General features: G+C 40.0%; 1 protein-coding gene and 1 long non-coding RNA gene across 13 annotated transcripts in view; one reads left to right on the forward strand and one right to left on the reverse strand.

Moving 5' to 3' along the window:
• Positions 1 to 23,578, reverse strand: part of LZTFL1 (leucine zipper transcription factor like 1) — a 92,409-nt gene that overhangs the window by 31,391 nt on the left and 37,440 nt on the right. For 6 of the 12 annotated variants that reach the window (NM_001276379.2, NM_001405921.1, NM_001405927.1 and 3 more), the window contains exon 3: positions 280 to 368. The exons of 2 other annotated variants lie outside the window; for them this stretch is intronic. In NM_001276379.2, coding sequence (NP_001263308.1) covers positions 280 to 368 — 89 coding nt within the window. Of the gene's footprint in view, positions 1 to 279; positions 369 to 4,233; positions 4,273 to 23,578 lie in introns of all 12 variants that reach the window. 4 more of the 12 variants (NR_170121.1, XM_017006645.3, NM_001405926.1 and 1 more) reach the window with 1 other exon arrangement.
• Positions 10,248 to 11,865, forward strand: LOC124909374 (uncharacterized). Its single transcript, XR_007095900.1, has 2 exons — positions 10,248 to 10,549; positions 11,730 to 11,865. It is a non-coding gene; the product is annotated as an uncharacterized LOC124909374 (long non-coding RNA).

Below are 23,578 nucleotides of genomic sequence, written 5' to 3' on the forward strand. Positions count from 1 at the left end.
TCCATCAGTGTGTCTTGGTCTCATTCTACCACCAACCATTTTATCACTATCTGCCAATGAGATGATTCAGAGTTGCTTATGAGTTCTCCTCTCTCTCCTGCTGCTTCCAGCACATCCTAGGATTACATCTGAAATAACTCAAAATCATCACCATTCCCTTCTTTATGCTAAGAGCTACTCTCCTTGTCCCATTCATCTAATCTGGAATAACAATAAAAAAACAGGAACAACCACCACCAAAACATAATTATAATATGTCAGATGCGCTTGTCAACTTACAGAGCTTTCTCCTGGAACTTAGCCCAGCTTCTTGGAAAAGTCACCAAAGGGTGGGTAGGGTACAACTTGATGGATTTTCTCTGCCTTCCCTAGAAAATGAGAGTTCGAGTTAAAAATTATAAGTTGTATCTTAAAAACATCAAAGGGATATGATGAACATCAATGCAAAAATCCTCAATAAAATACTGGCAAACCGAATCCAGCAGCACATCAAAAAGCTTATCCACCACAATCAAGTCGGCTTCATCCCCATGATGCAAGGCTGGTTCAACATATGCAAATCAATAAGTGTAATCCATCACATAAACAGAACTAAAGACAAAACCCACATGATTATCTCAATAGAGGCGGAAAAGGCCTTCAATAAAATTCAACATCTCTTCATGTTAAAAACTCTCAATAAACTAGGTATTGATGGAATGTACCTCAAAATAATAACAGCCATTTATGACAAATCCACAGCCAGTATCATACTGAATGGGCAAAAGCTGAAACTGTTCCCCTTGAAAACTGGCACAAAACAAGGATGCCCTCTCTCACCACCCTTATTCAACATAGTATTGGAAGTCCTGGACAGGACAATCAGGCAAGAGAAGGGTATTCAAATAGGAACAGAGGAAGTCAAACTGTCTCTGTTTGCACATGACATGATCCTATATCTAGAAAACCCCACAGTCTCATCCCAAAGGCTTCTTAAGCTGATAAGCAACTTCAGCAAAGTCTCAGGATACAAAATCAATGTGCAAAAATCACAAACATTCCTATACACCACAAATAGACAGACAGCCAAATCATGAATGAATTCCCATTCGCAATTGCTACAAAGAAAATAAAATACCTAGGAATACAGAAAACAAGGGAAGTGAAGGACCTTTTCAAGGAGAGCTACAAACCACTGCTCAAGGAAATCAGAGAGGACACAAACAAATGAAAAAATATTCCATGCTTATGGATAGGAAGAATCAATACTCTGAAAATGGCCATACTGTCCAAAGTAATTTATAGATTCAATGCTATTCCCATTAAACTACAATTGACATGCTTCACAGAATTAGAAAAAAAATTTTTTAATTCATATAGAACCAAAAAAGAGCCCATATAGCCAAGACAATCCTAGGCAAAAAGAACAAAGCTGGAGGCTTTCAAACTATACTACAAGGCTACAGTAACCAAAACAGCATGGTACTGGTACAAAACCAGACACATCAACCAATGGAACAGAACAGAGATCTCAGAAATAAGACTGCACATATACAACCATCTGATCTTTAACAAACCTGATAAAAACAAGCAATGGAGAAAGGATTCCCTATTTAATAAATGTGCTGAGAAAACTGGCTAGCCATATGCAGAAAATTGAAACTGAATCCCTTCCTTACACCTTATACAAAAATTAACTCAAGATGGATTAAAGACTTAAATGTAAAACCCAAAACTATAAAAACTCTAGCAGAAAATCTAGGCAATACCATTCAGGACCTAAGCACAGGCAAAGATTTCATGACAAAAACATCAAAAGCAACCACAACAAAAGCAAAAATTGACAAATGGGACATAATTAAAGAGCTTCTGCACAAAAGAAAAGAAACTATCATCAGAGTGAACAGACAACCTACAAGATGGGAGAAAATGTTTTCAATCGATCCATCTAACAAAGGTCTAATATCCAAAATCTACAAGGAACTTAAATACATTTACAAGAAAAAAAACCTTAAAAAGTGGGCAAAAGACATGAACAGACACGTCTCAAAAGAAGACATTTATGCAGCCAACAAACATGAAAAAAACTCAACATCACTGATTGGTAGAGAAATGCAAATCAAAACCACAATGAGATACCATCTCATGCCAGTCAGAATGGTGATTATTAAAAAGTGAAGAAACAACAGATGCTGGCAAGGCTGTGGAGAAATAGGAACACTTTTACACTTTGGTTGGAGTGGAAATTAGTTCAATCATTGTGGAAGACAGTGTGGCAATTCGTCAAAGATGTAGAATGAGAAATACCATTTGACCCAGCAATCCCACTACTGGGTATATACCCAATGGAATAGAAATCATTCTATGATAAAGATACATGCATGTGTGTATTCATTGTAGCACTATTCACAATAGCAAAGACACAGACTCAACCTAAATGCTCATCAATGATAGACTGGATAAAGAAAGTATGGCACATATACACCATGGAATACTACGCAGCCATAAAAAGGAACAAGTTAATGTCCTTTGCAGGGATATGGATGGAGCTGGAAGCTGTTATCCTCAGGAAACTAACACAGAAACAGAAAACCAAACATTGCATGTTCTCACTTATAAGTGGGAACTGAACAATGAGAACATGTGGACACAGAGGGGAACAACACACACTGGGGCCTGTCGGTGGTGATTGGGGGCAGGGAGAGCATCAGGATAAATAGCTAATTCATGTGAGGTGTAATATCTAGGTGATGGGTTGATAAGTGCAGCAAACCACCATGGCACACGTTTACTTGTGTAAAAAACCTGCACGTCCCAGGACTTTGAATTAAATTAAATTTAAAAATAAAAACAAAAGGGATGTTTTCCTCACACCTGACTTTTCGGACTGTTATACCAACCTAGGAGTTAATTACATTGACAAAATTGCCTAATAGACTAAAACTCAATTTTAAATATTTAAAGTAAACATTTTTTAAAACCCGCTAGAGATGTGGTTGGACAAATAGGCCAAAAGACAATTTTTAAAAGTAGATCTTATCCTTTGGAGAAGTTTTGGGTCCAAAACAAAATTGAGAGGAAGGTACAGAGATTTCTCATAAACCTTCTGTCTCCACATATGCCTCCCACTCCTTATTATCAGCATCCCCCACCAGAATGGTACATGTGTTACAATTGATGAACTATATTGACAAGTCATTATCACCCCAAGTCCATAGTTTATTTGTTTTTGGTTTTCATTTCTGCTATGTAAGGAAAAAAAGGGTTTTGTGATTTTTCAAATTGGTTAATCATAATGATAATTTTATAAAGGAAATGCTGGTTTTAATGTCTGCTAATTTTGTGCTTTTCTTAAGAAATGTATTAAATCAATTTACCATAATTTTTAAAAAGTATTTCCAGGATCTCACTCCTTTACACATTCAATTTTCAAGAAGGAAAATCCTGTCTATATCCATTTCCAAGAAGAATAAATAAGTATATGAATAGTAGATTAAAAATAAATGTTACCATACTTGGTTCTTTTTAACAGCTGTCAGGGTGTATTATCAAGAAAAAGCATCTCATGCTTCACAAGGTTATTTTGTGTTGCTCTTCCTTACTCTGAAAAATTCCACAAGGCTTATACTTGTAAATACTGTAGCCAGAATGGGAATTAACCCTTCAATATGACCTCCAAGGTCAAGGGAAGATCTGGAGGACTAGTGTACAGGAATGCTGGGGTAAGTATGGTGACACAGAAACAGTCAAAGTGACAGGTACTGAGCTGAATAATACATATTTACGTTTTTACCTAGTGTCATGGAAATAATTTATTATATCCCTAATATATTTTTTATCATTTGTTAAAGTTAAAATCACATGCTGTATTTTGTAAACTGTACTCATATGCTCTATAAACTACAGAATGAAAAATGAGCAACCTCAATGCTTTAAAAATGGAAATCTTGAGAAAATAAGAAGCTATAGACACAACTGTTTTGAAAGTGCCTTTGTTTAGATCCAAAAGAGAAAGATAGAGAATTTTGTTAAATCTGAACTTGTATCTCATTGCCAAAAAGTTGAGTCTGTCTTTATTAAAAAGAGCAAAGAGTTTTCCTATAATGTCATATTAAAAATATAATTCTAAGAATTGTTGACTTGAACCTTGAGGATACAAATATTTGTTATGAGATGTTTGCCACAGAAATCGGTGTTTGTTCACTTAAAGTTGTAAATTATGGTTTTCAGAGGAAGTTGATTTTATTTACTCACCTTGCGATTAATCCACTGTGAACTCTGGCCTCTAGGAAGCTGTCCAAGAAATAGGGACATAGTTGGAGGTGTTGCTCCTTGTAAAAATTATTTCACAGGTAAAAGTAAAAATGACTGACAGTAGAATCTAAAACAAAAGGCAGGATTTCTATTCTCCTGGATGGTGCTCGTTGATGATACACAACATGTAAGGCAGAAATGGGAACTAATCTCTTCCTGTTTTTAAAAATTTGCTATGCAGAGATAATTTTCATGTAATAATGAACTTAAAAGTCTGGTCTAAATATTCTACTCCATTCATATCTACCAGAAGGACATCTGACTCTCCCAGGCTTGAGTGCAGTGGTGAGATAATAGCTCCCTGCAGCCTCTAACTCCTGGCCTCAAGTGATCCTCCTGCCGCACCCTCCCAAGTAGCTGGGACTATAGGCACTAGCCATGGTGCCTGACTATTTTGTTGTTGTTGTTGTAGAGACAGCGTCTCGCTTTTTTGCCCACGGTGGTTTCAAACTTCTGGGCTCAATTGATCCTCCCACCTTGGCCTCCCAAAGTGCTGTGATTACAGATGTGAGCCACTGAATGTGGCCTATGCTGGTATTTTCACCAACAAAAAACACCAATGAAGTAGTTTTCTCATTTTTAAATGACAAAAATTAACGAATGAATGAAAGTGGATCTTTCACAGAGAACATTACATGGCTTTTTTTTTTTTTTTTTGGCAGAGTCTCACTCTGTTGCCCAGGCTGGCATGCAGTGGCATGATCTTGGCTCACTGCAACCTCTGCCTCCCAGGTTAAAGCGATTCTCATGCCTCAGCCTCCCAAGTAGCTGGGATTACAGGCTCCCACCACCACACCCGGCTAATTTTTATATTTTTAGTAGAGACAGGGTTTCACCATGTTGGCCAGGCTGGTCCTGAACTACTGACCTCAAGTGATCTGCCCGTATATAGCATTCTTAATAATGTACAGAACTGAAATAAAATTCACTTCATTTTTGAAAAATAAGAATTTGGGAAATTTGAAATAGAATGGCATTAAGTATATACTAATCATAGAATGCAACTCTAATAGTGTCTAATGATCACAGTATGATGACCAGCCACTGTAACTTTAAGGGAGAGAAAAAGAAAAATTTAATGTAGATTTTAAAATGTATACTTCTTGGGAGGCTGAGGTGGGAGGATGGTTTGAGCCCAGAAGGTGGAGGTTGCAGTGAGCCGAGATTGCGCCACTGCACTCCATCCTGGGCGACAGAGCCAGACACTGTCTCAAATAAATAAATAAATAAGTAAGTAAAATAAATAAAATGTATACTTGCAAGAATTTTTTTTTTCGAGAAATTATGCCATGAGAAGAGTGTGTGCCCATGAGTCTATATAGGGATGTATATGCATATAGGCATGTGCAAGAATGTGTGTGTGTATATGTGTGTGTGTTAGTTGGGAAGAACAGCAGTGAAAAGGAAAGGACTTTGGAATCCTAAGGTAATTCAGATGGTGGATGGACATTTATCTTATAAATGCTTTTTTTTTTTTGTTTTTTGGTAGGTGGTGAAAGTAGTAACACCAGCAAATGTGGAAAATCTGCTTTTCTCTTAATAAGATTGTGAGGTTCCCTTTGGAAGGCAAACTTTTTCTTTGCCTGAAATTAATCTCATTAATTTAGATTTTGTCAAAATAATTAGGCCAGGCTCATATGCTTCAGTATGAGGCCACCATGTGACAGAGCACATGGAACATGCAGTGTCATCTTGAAAAACGAATGATGAAGACAGGACAGGCTCCGGGTGGAGCTTTGGAGTGTAGGAAGAGGTTGCATTCTCACCTAGTCTCTTAAAGGGTTGCCTCAGCAAGGAAACCCAACCCAAGGAGTTTAATAAGTACGAAATCGTTGACCATTTTCATCTTTTCCCATCTTAATTTTAAAAATCACATATTTTTCCTGCTGCTAGGAGAGATTTTCTGCTGAAATCTTCCCACTGACTTCTGATCTAGTCCATTGCCAACATGTTTGTGCTTGACCCTCATTTGGGCATATTTCTTCTGGGTCTTTTAGTTAGGATTATTTTTAGAGAGAAGATAAGGGAAAATGAAATACCTCTATTCAGCACAGGGTCGAAGTACACTGGCCTTGTGCAGATGTGCTTAGGAGAGGCGATGGACACTAGAGAGGGCCCAGGAGTGGCATTTATTCCAAGCCTGCCTAGTATCAGTACAGAGACTGCCTGTGCGTATTATAATTATTTTGAAAGACTGTGAAGAAGCAAAACGAAAAAAAAAAAAAAACCCCAAAAACTCCCTTCCAGATCAAAACTTCAGAGGGCAAAAGTTCAAGAAAGGATTTATTTTTAATGTTGAAAGAGAAGAGATTGTGAGTAAAATCGAGAACAGTGATTAAAATGCAAAAGCCCGGGAAGCTCAGAAGTGCTGTTTGGTTTGCTGAATGTTTGTATTTTCTCAGTCAGAAGCCAGCCAAATATACCTGCCTTATTCCTGAAAGGTTTTTCTAACTGGCTGCTAGCCTACAATAAAAACCATTTTCTACAGCTTTAATGTGTGCTGAGGAGGGGTGGGGGAATGTTTAAAAGAAGTCCTATGAGTAAGTAGACCTTGCGATGATGCATTATAGCATTATATTTGCAAAGATATGTGTGCATGTGTGTATGTGTGTTTGTGCCTCTCTGTGCATGTGTGTGTGTGTTTGCATTCTTGTGCCTGCTTATTTGCAGATACAAGGGACAAAGTCACAGATAAGTAGGAGCATAGCTGAGACCATAAACTAGCAGTAAAGCACATAACTGATATGAATTCTACCACTTTCTTAGGCTTCATAACTTACGTCTCTTAGTGTAACTAAGTAGAAGAATTTACTTACCCCTTGCCTAAAAATGAAATCTATTTATGGAAGCCAAAAGCTGTGAGGGCCGTTTATATCATTTATTACAAACCTGTCCCTTGGAAAACCAAGATCCAAAAAAGCCATGTGGCTTGCCTAAGGTACCGAGTTTTTGTCAAAGTATTTTATTCCCCACCTGGTGGTCATTATCTTTGTCATTCTTATGGAGCTCATTTTTCCTGAGAAAATAAAAATCATATACGACCAGCTATGGACTTTTGGTAATCAAGCTCGTTTATCAAATGTGTATTGAGCACCTGATATATATGTGAGGCACCATCTTAGACTCTGGTGTCACAATGATGAAAACAGACATGGTCTCTGTTCTTGGGAGGTAAAGTGAGTCTTAAAGCTGTGTGAACTGGTTTTATGTATTTTGCTCTTCCTTTGAAGAAACTTACAAATTAATTGTAGCCTCTGGATCCTCCATCTGTACCAGCCAGGAACAGGCGGACCAGGCTGGAAAAACCCTTCAGCCTCCACTGGAGGGGAACAAACCTTGGCCATGCACGAGGTGAGGATCTGGGATGTGGTGGCTTCCCTTCAAACAGATCTGCTTCCCAGGGAAGTGACCAATAATGACACAGGACAAAATCAAAGTGCAACCTGCAGGACCATGCAGGGCATGGAGGAGATGGGATTCCCCACATTATCCTCCTCAGGAGTGATTTTCACAACAACAACAACACTGTTCTCTTCAGCACTTCTTCCACCAACCCTCGCGGGGAAACAGTGACTTACTGAGGGACCGTCTGACATGGGCTCTGACCCTCCTGGTTCTACAATCTGTTTTGTGGGAAAGAAATCTTACTTGCTGTAAGTAAGAAAAAAGAAAGTAATGGCTTTGGAGGCTTAGAAGCATCTTAAAGTATGGGCCGATCTACTAGCTTTTGACATTGGATCTGAGTTTATGCCAGCCGCAGTTGAAACATTGCTGACAACCAGTACTGAGAACTCTCATGGCTTGCAGCCTTCCCTCAGGCACTCTTCTGGAATTCTCCCATATCTTGAAGATGTGGAGGGAGCACAGATATAAGTAATAATGACAGTAATTTATTAGATGATCTCGCCTTTGTTCTCTAGGAAAGTAGTTCTTTCCAGAATGTTATCTTTGGAGCTACTCTTGTTTTGAAACTTTGTTTTAAATCAAACTCAGTTCTGACTGCTTCGGCTTCTGGTGAGAATAGTATTATGAGACCCAAGAATAATTCAATAAAAACACATGCATTGAATGTATATTCATGAGTCCATAATGATACTCAAAAAGAATACTGCCAGAAGAAACTCATTCGAGGCAGCTAATACCAATGTCTTATTTTGACATTGTGTAACTGAAAGAAAAGTGCGTCTAATGTCCTTCAGGTAGGAACTATATTTCAAGGTAAACAAATAGCTCCAGTTGACAACATAAAGCTTGAAGAATGCCAGCTAAATGTAGAGGGATGAAAGTCATAATCTTGCAATTCCTAATGAGAGGGATGAAAGTCATAATCTTGCAATTCCTAATGAGAATGTAGATCCAGGCAAGGACTATCAACCTGTGCTTGAGGACCTCAGGGGAGTGGTTGATGGGACTTGGACATCTGTATGGTGCCAAAATAACAGTATGATGATGTGGTTCTGGTCTTCAGGAGAAAAACAGAATTGTACAATGGATGGATCAGACCACCATCACCCTCACCTAAAGGTTGATCCTAGCATCAGGAATAGTGGGACAACCAGTTATTCCATGTCTCCTGGGGTCATGAATTCCGATGTCACAGCATCCCCTGTGACGCAGTCTAGCCAAAGATGTTTAACTTGGGTCTAATCAATATGTAGATGTAACTTCCAGGAAATACAAGGGAGAGAGGAACAAGCTAAATGACACCACTGGCAAGCAATGTAGGGGGCCTCTATCGGCCACTGGCCAAGCAGCTGCAATAAGAAGCTACCCATGAAGAGACTGGAGGCTGGATTAAAAGATAGAGAGAGGACATAAAAGCCAGGTGCAATGTGTGGTCCAGGATTGGTTCCTCGTTTGGACAAAGAAGCTGGGAAGGACATTCAGGGAAACATTTGGTGAATTTGAATAATATAATGGCTATTAGATGATATTAAAGAATGATTATTAATTTTAGGTGTGATAATGTTGTTGTTTGTCAAGCAGGAAAGTGTTCTTTTTTTAAGAAATGTATTTTGGGGGCAATGTCATGCATGATATCTCTAACATAACACACAGCTGGACACTATGTGGGAGACTGACTGTGATGTTCAAGTCCCCTGTGGAAAGGTTGAACAAAAGTAGACATTTAACCAACATACTTGTCAGAGACTAGCAGGTAATGTGTAATTATAAATTGCTATCAAATTACTGAGTAAAAGTTTTGTGAAACATTTTCTAAAGTTTGAGAGTAAAGAGTAAAAAAGAGTAGCATATTAGTTCAAAATAATGAGGAAGGCATTATCATAGGAAGATAACAAAATTTTAATACGTGATACCTGATTTAATTTTAATATTGCTACTAGAACCTAATTTCCACTTGTCATAATGAAGAATTTTTATAACTTTTCTTCACTTATTGCTACTCAAAATCTTCATCGACTAGTAAAAATCAACCACAGGGCAACTGTTATAAATTATGGTATGTCCATATCTGAAATATTATGAAGTCATTAACAATTAAGATGTGGATTTAATATTTGGTTAATATTTAATGACATGAAAACATTTATGCCAATGTTCAGTGCAGAATATGCAACTTTATTACAATATAGTCCTAATTTTATGTATTAATAAGTGTAAAAGATTTAGCCCCCAGGTTATTGCTGAGAGAGGGATAAATAAGTACCATTTAATGTAGTCCTAGTATCATTAATTATTAAAAGAATATAAGAGAGAAAAAAACACACATGAGGAGACAGTAAAAAACTGTTTAGCTGACCAAGTGAGTGCTGCATTATTGTCTGTTTTAACAAGGGAGTAGGTTTTCTCACCACATTCAGCCAATGTGGTAAATTTTCTAACATGATAAAAAGAAACTCCCAGTTTTACTCATTTCCAGAGCTGAAAGTTGAAGAGTTGAAGCCCTTTTGCCCTTCTCAGAATGACTACACTTAAAGTGAGCTTCCTCACCACCAAGTACCAGAACAAATGGTGGGCCTGGAAAGGCAATTCTGCTCTGAGGAACGTGAAACAAGCATAAACCGAATGTGATGGCAGAGCTGTCACACCTTGTGGCCATCGATTACATTTCCACTGACCGTTCTATCACTCTCCAGAAGGGTGATCATGCCTGTGCTGCTCCCAGAAGACCCAGATCCACCGAAAGAAATGCAATCCTTCCCCACAGGCAGCCTTTCCTGAGGAGAAGAAGGAGCTTCTCTAATTGTCACATGAGTAGAAAATGTTGAAGAGACCTGCCTCTTTCAGAGGAAGGGTAAACAGAATTCTAACCACATTTTAAAACACCTCTTCCCTCTGCTTATTGAAGTAGGATACTCAGCAACAATTCAAAAGATTGAGGTTTACATGCACTGATGAGGAACGACCTCCAAGCTTCATTGTTCAGTGAGTGAAACCAGAGTTAGAGCAACAGAGCTCACAAAATCTCACTTACACGCACTACATGCTTCCACATGCAAACACGTGCACATGCACACACATGCACAGACTCTTGCAAAGAAAAGATGAACACACACCAAACTTTTAATGATAAATATGTATGACGAACTAGGAAAGGGATGGAATAAAAGGGAACGTTCACTTTTCTTACTCTATATTTCTGAAGTTTTTGGATTTTCTTTTTATAACAGGAGGTAAACATTTAGTTCTTATGTAATTTTAAGAGAGGGAACGATGAATTCATACACTTCTGGTAGAAATGTAAAAATGATACAGTCATTTGAAAACAGTTTGGCAGTTCCTCAAAAAGTTAAACATAGAGTTATCATATGACCCAGCCATTTCACTCCTGAGTGTTTACCCAAGAGAGAAAGAAATATATGTTCCTGCAAATACTTGAGCGTTTATAACAGCGTTGTCTGTAATAACCGAAAATCAGAGGCAACCAAATGTCTACAAACCAATGAATGGATAACAAACTGGTATAGGCCATGTAATCGAATACTATTCCACAATAATAGGAAACAACTATTGGTACACATGACAACGTGAATGCATCTCAAAATGATGCTGAGTGAAAGAAGCCAGACAAAAGAGTATTTGCTATGTATTACAATTTATATAAAATTCTAGAAATGCAAACCAAACTATAGTGACAGAAAGCAGATCGGTGGTTGAATGTGGCGAGGGGTGGTGGCGTGGTGGGAGGAAGGAAGAACAAATGGGTCCAAGGACACTTTTGGGGTGATGGATATGTTCACCACCTTCATTGTGCTAATGATTGATCCGGTGTGTACTACAGCAAGATTTATCCAATTGCATACTTTAAACATGTAGTTTATAGTGCGCTAATCATAACTCAATGAATCTACAAAAAAGTAATACATGCTTAATATAGAACATTTTGAAATAATGTAAAAATGAAGACGAAAAATTTAAAAGCCCCTACACTTTCAAAAAGAAAACCGTTAACATTTTGGGGCTTTTTCTTCCAGGAAAGTTTCACGTCCACCATACAGTCAGCTCTACAAGGGCAAGCCTGCCTGATTCACCAGCCGTATTCACAGAACTATGCTGGAAAAGCAATTGTGGGATAACTAAGTTTGGATCAATAAATGAATGTGTAAAAGAGCCTACCCTCTTCATTTCATAGTATATAATGAGGGCTTTTTCATGTCACTAAAAGTTCTTTGAAAACATACCATGGCTTCACACCCTTCCACTGCCTGGATCTACAGTAATTGATTTTAGACTTGGGTTGTTTAGAGTCTTTCAATATAACCAATAGTGCTGTAATATTCAGCTTTGTGTATACCACAGAAGACTTGTATTCACCATAGAGGCTATCCCACAACAATTAATGGATCCAATTAAGTAGGTTAACAATTTGGTTTTACATTGTGTAGCTAAAAATAAGATAGTTGCGGCCAGGTGAAGTGGCTCACGCCTGTAATCCCAGCACTTTGGGAGGCTGAGGCAGGCGGATCACTTGAGGTCAGGAGTTCGAGACCAGCCTGGGCAACATAGTGAAACCCCATCTTTACTAAAAATACAAAAATTAGCTGGGCATGGTGGCGCATGCCTGTAATCCCAGCTACTTAGGCGGCTGAGGCAGGAGAATCGCTTGAACCCAGGAGGCTGAGGTTGCAGTGAGCCGAGATCATGCCACTACACTCCAGCCTGGGTGACAGAGCAAGACTCAATCTCAAAAAAAAAAAAAAAAAAAAAAAACCCAAAAGATAGTTACATTTTTCATCTTTTAAATTAATTTGTTAATTGCCTTCTCTTTCACTCAGTTTCCCCTTTGGTAAATGGGAGTAATAATAATATCTTCCTCTCAAGGTGTTGTTAAAATTTTAAAATATGGTGTAAAAACTGCTTATGACAATGCTGGCAGAGAGTAAACTTGTAATGATGGGCACTTCCGGGCCATTCTTGTGCCAGAACTGTCCTTGGCTCCTGCCAAATTCCCGCAATTCAAGTTTTTTTTTTCTTGCACCTGCTAGTCTGAACACATCCATCAACCTTGCTTAAAGAATCTTTGGGGTGAATTGGAATTAAAAGGCAAGGCTGGAAGTTTATATTGTTACTATTTAGCACTTCTTTAGAAAACTCATCTTAGGCTGGGCACCGTGGCTCATGCCTGTAATCCCAGCACTTTGGGAGGAGGAAGTGAGAGGATTCCTTGAGCCCAGGAATTCAAGACCAGCCTGGGCAACATAGTGAGACCTCATCTCTACAAAATATCAAAAAATTAGCTGGGCACAGTGGTGCATGCCTGTAGTCCCAGCTACTTGGGAGGCTGATGTGGGAGGATCACTTGAGCCTGGGAGGTCAAGGCTGCAGTGAGCTGTGATCGCACCACTGCACTCTAGCCTGGGTGACAGAGCAAGACCCTGTCTCAAAACAACAACGACAACGAACAAGAAAACCTATATTAGCCAAAGATAAATGTCAGCCCCATTGGAATGGGTTCCATGTTCTGTCTCTGGATAGCTCTGGTGATGAGAAGGATTCAAGGGCAGCAATTTTCTTTCAAGAAGATTTTCCATTAGGTATATCTCTTAATGCTATATATATATAATGGAAAATCCTCTTGAAAGAAAATTGCTGCCCTTGAATCCTTCTCATCACCAGAGCTATCCAGAGTGCAGCACACCAGCATGGCACATGTATACATATGTAACAAACCTGCACGTTGTGCACATGTACCCTAGAACTTAAAGTATAATAAAAATATATATATATATAAATTTTTAAAAAGTATTTTAATTTTTTTGCAAAAAAAAAAAGAGGATTTTCCCCAGCTTTCTACTGAACCTGTGCAAGTGAAACTTGATTGAAACCACTCGCTTCGTAGAGTTGTGGTAGCAAACCATAAATCATTCTGGCTTCCCTGAGAAGTTTTTCAAACCTTAGAGAGCCAGATGACTCTTAACAAAGCTGTTTCATTAAACAGTTTTAGAGTGGATTTTTAGCCAAGTTCTGGTTCTAGATTCTCAGCATTTAGCAGAAATGTTTAGTGAGTTACTCACATACACACATGTAAAGCTTTTGTTCACTTAGGTCAACAGAGAGAGAAATGAATATGTAAATATGTATTGAGTCAATATTTGCAAATATAGCTTTGTTTAAATAATAGCCTCTCATTTTATAGTTAAGAAAAGTGAGGCTTAACAAGATTGAGTGACTTGCTCAAATTCTCAGTCAGTGGTAGGGGGGGTAAACCCAACTCTCTCTGATTCCAAAGCAAGTATATCATCTACATGATAGAAAATCATAATAACAGCCGATATTTTCCCAACATATTACAGTTTCCAAGCCTCTCTGATACATTGTCTCATCAAGCCCTTATGGTCCTTCTCTGTTTAGAAGGCTACCATGGGGCAGGCCTTCTCCCCACACCTCCCAAACGTGGATATAAGACTCTCCCTTGACATCCAAATGTGGTCCTGGCCCAGCATCATGGGCATTGCCTGAGAGCTTGTTAGAAATGCAGACTCTCAGGCCCCACCCCAGACCTACTGACTCAGAATCTGTATTTTAATAAGATCCCCACTTTGAAGAGCATTCCCACAAAGTCAGACAAGAAATGCACACATGATGACCACAGCAGAGAGAAGGCAGAGTGTCCCTCAGGCTAGCAGGTCTTGTGTGACACTGACTGAAGAGCTAAAGACAGTGCATGTGCATGGGCAGGAAGGGATGGGCAGAGCACGAGATCACAAAGATCACCACTGGCATTGCTCAGGGATGGAGGACCATGGATAAAGGCCATTGGCAAGGTCAGTCCTGCTGTGCAAGGAGTGCATGGGCAACCAAGTCTACTGATGCTGTATGTTTGTTATGGGAAACCCTTGGGATGCTAGACTAGGCAGAATGTAATCAATTTTTATTTTTCATTTCATGAAGACTTTCCTAGAAGCAGGAAAAAGAAGACGCCATGCCTTCCAGTCATGCTTGCTTAAAGCCATGCTTGCTTGCTCTTCTATATTTCATTTAGAAAACACGGTTAACGTTTCAATGAAGTAGTGGTTGGATATTACCCTGGGCCCCCAAGTTCTGCCCTCCCTAGCCTGGGATGGGACACAGCTATAAGAAGGAGCATACTTCCTCTGGTCCATCTCTAACTTTTAAGACAACGCAGCCAACTCTGAGCCTACACCCCCTTGTGTCATTGATGTACCCCTCCTTTGTGGAAGGTGCCTGGAAGCAGTGTGGGTAATGCCTGGAGATGGCTGGGCATGGCCTTGGTAGGGAATGATTCGTCTGTGTCTTTTTTGAGCCATAAAATCCCCATCTTATTGAAATAAAAAGAAATTCAGGTATGTCTGGTCCAGACAGAAGAGGTCACCCCCAAATCTGGGACATCCAAGATGACACCCAAGATGAAAGATGATGTCATCATCAATCCTCTGGTTTAAAACTATTTCCCTCAGGATTGCAATTTGGCTCCTCCAGTGGGTCTGCCCATGGAGGGAGAGAGACCAGTTATGTCAACAAAAGTACTCGAGTTCCCATGACATCTGCTTTTGCATTTTCCTCCAACTCTCCATGTCATTTTGTCATACAACACTGCCTCATTAAACGAGGGGTATAAACTAGAAAGTTGTAATGAAGATGTTTCTTGAAATGATTTCTGCAGAGCAGCAACCTTCCAGGCAACCCACTTTCTCTCCAGTGCCCGCTCTCAAGCTCAGCCTGGCAGGAGGGGCAGGGTAGCATGTTACAAGGGTGCTCACGAGGGCATGCAGAAAGCTATGTGGTTTGGGGTCAGGAAACCAGGTGCCTGGCTGTCAGGCTACACCCACAGACCCAGGCATCACCACCAAGTCAGGTGTCTCTTGGTTTTCGCTGCTCTAGAATTATGAGTTGACAATCAGATGGCACAGAAGCCTGGAAACTAAGTTATCAGTTAATCAGAAAGGCCTGCTTGCATGTGGTTCAGACATCCTGAGGTGGTAGCACAGTGTGGCATAGGGTGGAAATTGCTATCCTCAGGGTGAGTTATGGTGTCTCTGTGTGTGTGCACATGTGTGCGTGTGTGTTTGTGGTTGAACACAGAGAAACTATCTTTCTTCTTGATGATCAGATGAACAATGAGTGCTTTTGACAAATGGGATGATTTTATAATAACGTCTAAAGAGAAGTAATTGTATATTTGTACAAATACAAAGCCTACTTAACATTTAAGACAAGCAACAGATTTTCCAATGTTATTCAACAGATAGAAATACTTATAGGAATCCTAAAATATTTAATGTTAATTACACAATTAAGCAATTTATTCTTGAAAACACTCTCATAGTAAAGCACTCGTTGATTACAGACAAACGAAACGTCTCCTTCACCACCTTCCACCACCCCCTGACTTCTTCCAGGAGCTAAGCACTGTGGCTATTTGATATTAATCCTTCTAAAGGCTTTCTCTGCACTTAAAAACATGTATATGTTCCCAGACAAATGGATAATACTTGAGTGTTTTGTTTTTATCAGAAATACCATCATATTGAACATACCATCTATTATACAAGTTGCTTTATTTGTTCAGAAACATGCCCTGGGAATCTTTTCATGTTAGTACATGTAGATCCACATTAAATCTTTTAAATGGCTACATAGTATTCCATAGAATGAAAGTACCATCCTTTATGTAATCACCATCTCCTTGATGAACATGTAGGTGGTATTTCATCTTCACCCACATAAGCAAGGCAGCCATGATCTTTGTTACAATGCCTCCTTAAAGAAATGCATTGAATTTCTCCAGAGGGGATGCCAGAATGGAGTTGCTTTGATACAAGGAATGCAAACTTTGTATCTTAGCAGATATTGCTGTCATCTCTTTCCAGTGTGGCTGAACCCATTTTTGCACCCTCAGGAATGGGTGAGAGGCCATGATTCCCAATCACAGTGCTTGATATTAAACTCATAATCATTTGCCTATTTGAAGGGTGAAAACATTGTTTTTATTTAATATGCATTTTCCTACTACTAGCTAGATAGAGCACCTTTTCATATGTTTTTCCGCTCATCTGGGAAGAAAACTTTTGTACATTTGAAAAATATGTGTTATCTTTTTATTTTTGTTTTGCAGGAGCAGAAGTTCTTTTCTAAGAGAAATTGCAAAAAGCAAGTGGCAACATACTAGACATTTTTCTTTATTTCAGAAAGTCATAAAAGCAATGGCTTGCATAGAAATAGAGAAAAAAGTCTGTGGTATGTGTATGTGCATTTTTTTTTTTCCATAGAGTGACGCTAACACCCACACACCTTTAGCAAATGGAGTGAAGCCCCCAAAGATTGCAAAGGCAAAGATGAAAGACAAAGAAAAGAAAGGCAGTTCTACCAGGCGCTTTATAACAAGAAAAGCGACTTGCAACCAGCATCTGAAATCTGGCTTCCATGTTCTGCAGAGGGCTTTGTTTGCTTCCCAGGGCCAACTATTTCCTGTAGAAATCCTTTCTATAGTGGGAGCTTGGGATTTGGCTGGTGTTTATCAGTTGCCCACGTAAGGAAGTGATGTCAGCCTGTGGCCCCCACCTGGGGTTATCTGAGGGGCTCATCGCTTACTGGTACTGACTGAGACGGAGAAGCAGCCAGGTGGCAGCAAGGAATGGCAGGCCTAGGCTCATCAAATCACCCTCAACCACAGCAGAATTTATCGCCACAGTGCATCTCTTGGGGGAAAGCTGAAGTCTGGGGGCTTGAGAAAATTAGGTGTAAGAATGAGGGGTGCAGAGGGGCCAGAAAGGAAGGGGAAGGAGCTCCATCCTCTCTGGAGTGTGTTCTGATGCATGTGGAGGAGGCTATGGAGCAAATACAAGTATAAACCCCAAAGCGGGGCTGTGGTGTCGATCGAGTACTTGGGGTGTGTGGCACACCCATTTAAGCTTTTGTTTAAATAGTGTTTTAAAAGATTGGCAAGGGAGAGGTCCGGACATTTTAGAAAACATCTGTGGGGTAGGTTGTGTTTCCACTCTTTGTGAATGTGGCTAGTAAGCTGAAACTCTCACTGAGGAGATGCTAATTTATGAGCGTAGTGAGATTTGCAACAAACCAGCCCAGGAATAGAACAGGGGATGGGTTGGTGAGCATGAGGACTTCCTGGGGGGCTTGTTGAAGTGCAGATTACTGGGCCCCATCCGTAGGGTTTCTCCTTCCTAGGTCTGAGGCACCTCACAGCTCTAACAAATTTCCAGGTAATACTGATGCTGCTGGTCTGGGGCACACAATTTGAGAACCATCAGGCTAGCGATGACTGGCTAAAGAAACTTTTAACTGGGGAGACAACAGATGCTGTGACCTTTTGTAGATAGTTGGTGGCTGTGGTCTCCTCTCAGGCTGATGGGGGAGGGGATTCCAGATAATCAGAGGAATTGAGAAATGCTTTTATGACAAAGTTTGCAGATGGCAGATGAGGAACAATGTTTGCCTGAGGTGCTTCTAAAGGCAAGTGAGGCTGAAGTAGGGCTGTGATGTCTTAGAAAGAGTATTCTAATCTAAACTGAGGGCCAGGGCCAAGATAAGATTAAGTATTAGTGAGAAAAAGAGCATATTCTACCCAGGTACTTATTTTTTAAATTATTAAGGAACTTGTAAAATCAAACTAACAAATACCATGACCATGGCTAAACAAAGATAAAATAAGACTTAAGACAAACCTGTTCCTTGTTCTAATTTCCCCACTGCTAGTCCTATTCCCCAAACCAATTTTTCAAGCTTCTCAAACTTTACTGAGTACACAAACCCTGGGGATTTGTTAATGGCAGAGTTGATTCAGTGGGCCTAGGGCAGGGCCTGAAATTCTGCATTTCCAACAAGCTCCTAGGTGATGCTAGTGTTGCTCTATGGGCCATGCATTGTACTGGGAGGTTTTAAATAATTCTTTTAGCTGTGTGTTTTGCTAATCAATGTTAGACATTCTTCATTTATTTCCTGCAATAATTTATGAACATTTCATTTCTCCATCAGCCTTACTTGCCTTACTTGCCTTCCCATCTTTACATTACAGTTATATTTAGTATTTTTATTAATATTAATAAACACTGCTATAGTACAGTGACTGTAAAATTGTTTACTGCATAGTAAAGCAGTGAACTATTATAATTCATTTCTCATACAGCCTTTTGTTTTTCCTGGAGTTTCTAATTGTATTTATTTTCTTCTTACAATGTCTTGCTCATAATAATTCTGTTTCCCCTCTCCCCTCGATAAAGCTCACCATAACAGCTCATCTATAAAGTCCTCTTTTCTCTGGAAGACCTCCATCTTTCCACAAATTCAAACCAAACTAAACCAAACCAAACCAAAACAAAACCTCTTCCTGCCTCTGAGCATTCCACAAGCTGTTCACTCCTTCTAGGATACCGTCTCCTCCCTCCTATAATCTTCCCCAACAGGCTTACGTGCCACCTGTTGAAGTGTTACTCATTGCTCTAATCTAATATAACCTTTGTAGTCAGTTTGCTTCCCTATCACCATCAGTAGTGATGGCTCCCTCTGCTTCCCTTTACCTCGTTTATTCCTCCATCACATGTGCACATGCATGCACACATGCATATATATACATATGGGGGCCTCATCCACTCACTAATTCTACAAGTACTTATTAAGAGTTTACTACATGTCAAAGATGTTTCTGCCTGTTTCACCATCTCCACTTCCTTTCTTGCTGTTAATCTCTCCCATCTTCATTCTTCATTAATATTCCCTTTGCTTTGCTTCCTTTGCATCCTCCTCTTTCCTACATCTCTATTTTGGGAGACATATTTCTCTAAGGGTCCACAACTATTTCATGAAAATGATAGCCACTGAAAAAATCTGCGTGCTTCCAGTGGCCATTTGGGGTTGTGGGGAGGTGAAGGGATAAGCATTTTGATGTTATACTATGTTGCTCTCCCGTGTACTTGCTGCTAAGTCCTTTATTTAATATATGACCATGCAACAGGTCTGTGTGCAGGATGTGGACATTTTGCTATGGGGAGTGTATCTTTTAGAATAACTTCTTCTTAGGGGATGCTCTTTCCTATGGCTTTGAATGGCTCTTCCTTCTCATACTTCAGCTCTGAGAATAAATGTCACCTCCTCAGAGAGGCCTTCTCCCATCTGAAGTAGCTCTATTCCCTTCCCTTCCCACCACTCAGCCATTCTCTATCACATTACCCTGTAGGTACATTAATTTCATTGATGTCTCCAATTAATAGTCTCCCTGTATCCATACCCTTTGAAATGGACTTTGTAGTTCTTCCCATTGAGAGGTAGTGTCTGTCTCCCCACACCTTGAATCCGGGCGGACTTTGTGACTTGCTTTGACCAATAGTATGCAACAAAGTGATGGTGTGGCAGTTCTAAGCCCAGACCTTCAGAGTCACTGTGTACTTCTCTCTCTATAACCTTATCATCATCACCATCTGTCCAAACCCAGACTAGCCAGCTGGTGGATGGGAGGCACGTGGACCAGTGGTAACATCATCCCGTACAGCTAACCCCTAGTTAACTTTCTAGCTGGCTACAAACACCTGGGCTAGCAGGCCCAACTGAGGTCAGCTAAGGTTAGTTGAAGAACTTCTCAATTGAGCCCAGCTTAAAATACAACTTGTAGAATCATGAGCTAAATAAATAATTGTTGTTTAAGCCACTACATTTTGGAGCAGTTTATTCTGCAGCAATAGCTTACTGATACATCCTGTTTATTTCCTTTAGAGCCCTTATCACTGTCTAACATTAACTTCTTTGTTTACTTTTTCTCTCCTGCTCCCTTTGAATGTGAGCTCTATGAGGGTATGCCCCTTGTCTGTTTGGTTCATTACCGTATTCTTAGTATTTAGAATAGTGTCTGACTATAGTAAGTGCAAAATCAGTTTTGAGTAAATGAATAAATGAATTAACATACCATTTGCAAATGCCTAGTGTGTTGCTATATATCAGGAGGAGTATCTAATAACTCAGGTAATGGAAGAAAAGCAGAATTTTGAATTAGTTCTGGATTCAAATCCTGGCTCTAGCACTTACTAGCTATATGACCTTGGACAAATCCCTTGATCTCTCTGAGTTTCAATTTCATTGTCTGCAAAGCATGAATACAAAAATAATATCTGGCCAGGTGCAGTGGCACACGCCTGTAATCCTAGCACTTTAGGAGGCCAAGACAGGTGGATTGCTTAAGCCCAGCCATTCAAGACCATCCTAGGCAACATAGTGAGACTCTGTCTCTATGAAACATACAAAAAGAAAGAAAGAAAGAAAGAAACAAAAGCAAAAACAATATTCATCTACATAGTGGTTGTGAAGATCAAACGTGAAAATTATTTTGCAAATTGTGAAATATTGGACCAATTTTATTTGTTAAGTTTGACCCAGAGTAGAAGGTTTTTTTATTCTCTTACTTTTTGGTTCTCTGGGTGAAGAAATGCCCTAATGTAAATTTTTAAATTTGTGGAACCAAGTGTCTCTTTAGAGGATGTGACTTATAGAAAGGAAGGGGAGGAAAAAATTATGGCCTTTGAAATTAGTTGAATCCCAGCTACCACTACTGTGTGATCTTAGGACATTCGGTTAGCTGCTCAAAGACTCAACTTTCTTTTCTAAGAAGGATGCAAACTCTCTTATCAACTTATTACGGGATTTGAATAAGATAAAGTTCGTAAAGCTCTTGGCACAAACTCAGTGCTCAGACCATTCATTTGCTTTCTCTTTCCTGGACCAGGGTGGGAATCACAGTCAAGTGAAGCCTGAGGCTCTTGACGCTCAGGGACATAGGACAGCTCAAAGGCTTTGGGATGTTTAAGAAGGAGGGTTGTTTGAAGGAGGAACCCAGGGTAATTTAGTGAGACACACCTTTCATTTGGTTGGATTTGAATGATGTTCCTGCATTGGTCATTTATTGGATTTCTCTGTAGTGTTTAGAAATGAAATATTTTAATAACAAAAGGGCAAGCATTGTTGCTTTGGCACCGTGTGGGTGCCAAACTCACAGATTACAGCAATCCTAGGGAATAGCTATTAGTGTCCCTGTTTTACAAAAGAGAAATCTGAGGCTCTGAGACACAGACCACCCTGCAAGCAAGTGTAGAGCTGGATAGACCCCAGAGGTAATCATGATACCCTGACACACTTCAGTAGAAAGTACCTCTACTGAGCATTGCCATGTGCCAGGCGCTGGCTCGACTCTTTCCTGTATTAGTTCTTTTTCCTCTCACAGCAATCCCTTGAAGGGGGTAGTATCATCCTATTTTATAGATAAGGAAAATGTTTTGCCCAGCGTCACCTAGTAAAGCACCGTCTTGACACCAAAGCCTGTGATCCTGGCTTAGTTCACCTGTGTCCATTCCTGGAGGTGCAGGGTGGTGAAAAGTTCAAGAAATTTGGTAGATGGTAGAAACCTTAAAATGAAAAGAGAAATGAGCTAAATCTTTGAGATGGAAAGGAAGGCTGGACCTGGCTGGGTTAGTCACAGGACTGGGGAGTGGAAGGGTAACTATTCCCCCAGCCTTCCTCCGGGCTCTCTTCAAAGCCTCCTGGACACAAGACAGCAGGGATGGAAGCCGAGACAACAGCTGTCTCTATCTTAGGTCATCTCAAACATAGGGCAAGGGAAGGCTTCCTCAATGCATATCAGAGGAAGAGAAAAGTAGGAAGGGATCCCAACTCCTGCAGCCCAAGATATAGCGAATAAAATCGTGAAACTATTGAAAAATAAACTCCAAGTTTAAAAGATACTAAACAGACCTCTTTCCAGTAGGGCTTCTCAGAACCTGTGAGTGCTGCTTCACCTTTTTCACAAGCATCTCTTTTTTTTTTTTTTTTTGGAGACAGAGTTTTGCTCTTGTTGCCCAGGCTGGAGTGCAATGGTGCCAGCTTGGCTCACCACAACCTCCGCCTCCCAGGTTCAAGCAATTCTCCTGCCTCAGCCTCCCAAGTAGCTGGGACTACAGGCACACGCCACCACGCCTGGCTAATTTTTGCATTTTTAGTAGAGATGGGATTTCACCATGTTGGTCGGGCTGGTCTCGAACTCCTGACCTCAGGTGATCCGCCTGCCTCGGCCCCCCAAAGTGTTGGGTTTACAGGCGTAAACCACTGCGCCTGGCCACAAAGCACCTCCTTTTGCTGGACACCTGCCCACAGAACTCTGTTTGGGAAGGCTGCTAGATATTGTTTTGGTTTTTCTTTGGTAAATTTTTTCCAAATATGGTTAATACTGAAAATTGGGCTGTTATTTCTAAGGTGAAACTCCATGAGTAATCTGAGTCCTGTGATGGGGTCTTTGTTTTAAAGCATAATTTATTTCATTTATTAGTTTTTTTTTTTTTTTTTCCTGAGACAGAGTCTAGCTCTTTGTTGCCCAGGCTGGAGTGCAGTGGCTTGATCTTGGCGCACTGCAACCTCTGCCTCCCAGGTTCAAGCAATTCTCTCACCTCAGCCTCCTGAGTAGCTGGAATTACAGGCGCCTGCCACTATGCCTGGCTAATTTTTGTATTTTTAGTAGAGACAGTGTTTCACCATGTTGACCAGGCTGGTCTCAAACTCTTGGCCTCAAATGATCCACCCGCCTCAGCCTCCCAAAGTGTTGGGATTACAGGCATGAGCCACCGCGCCCAGCCCATTTACTAGTTTTTAACTGACAAATAATAATTTTATTTATGGGGTACAATGTGATGTATCTACATGGTGGAAAGATTAAATTAAGCTAATTAGTATTTTCCTCACCTCACCTACTCATTTTTCTTGTGGTGAGAATGTTTAAAAATCTATTCTTTCAGCAATTTTGGAATATGCAAAACATTATTATTAACTATGGCCAGCACCAGCCCGAGGCCTGAAGCTTTCCTCTGGGTCTCCC

Source organism: Homo sapiens, chromosome 3 (genome assembly GCF_000001405.40).
Source record: "Homo sapiens chromosome 3, GRCh38.p14 Primary Assembly".
In the NCBI taxonomy this organism is placed as follows: Eukaryota; Metazoa; Chordata; class Mammalia; order Primates; family Hominidae; genus Homo; species Homo sapiens.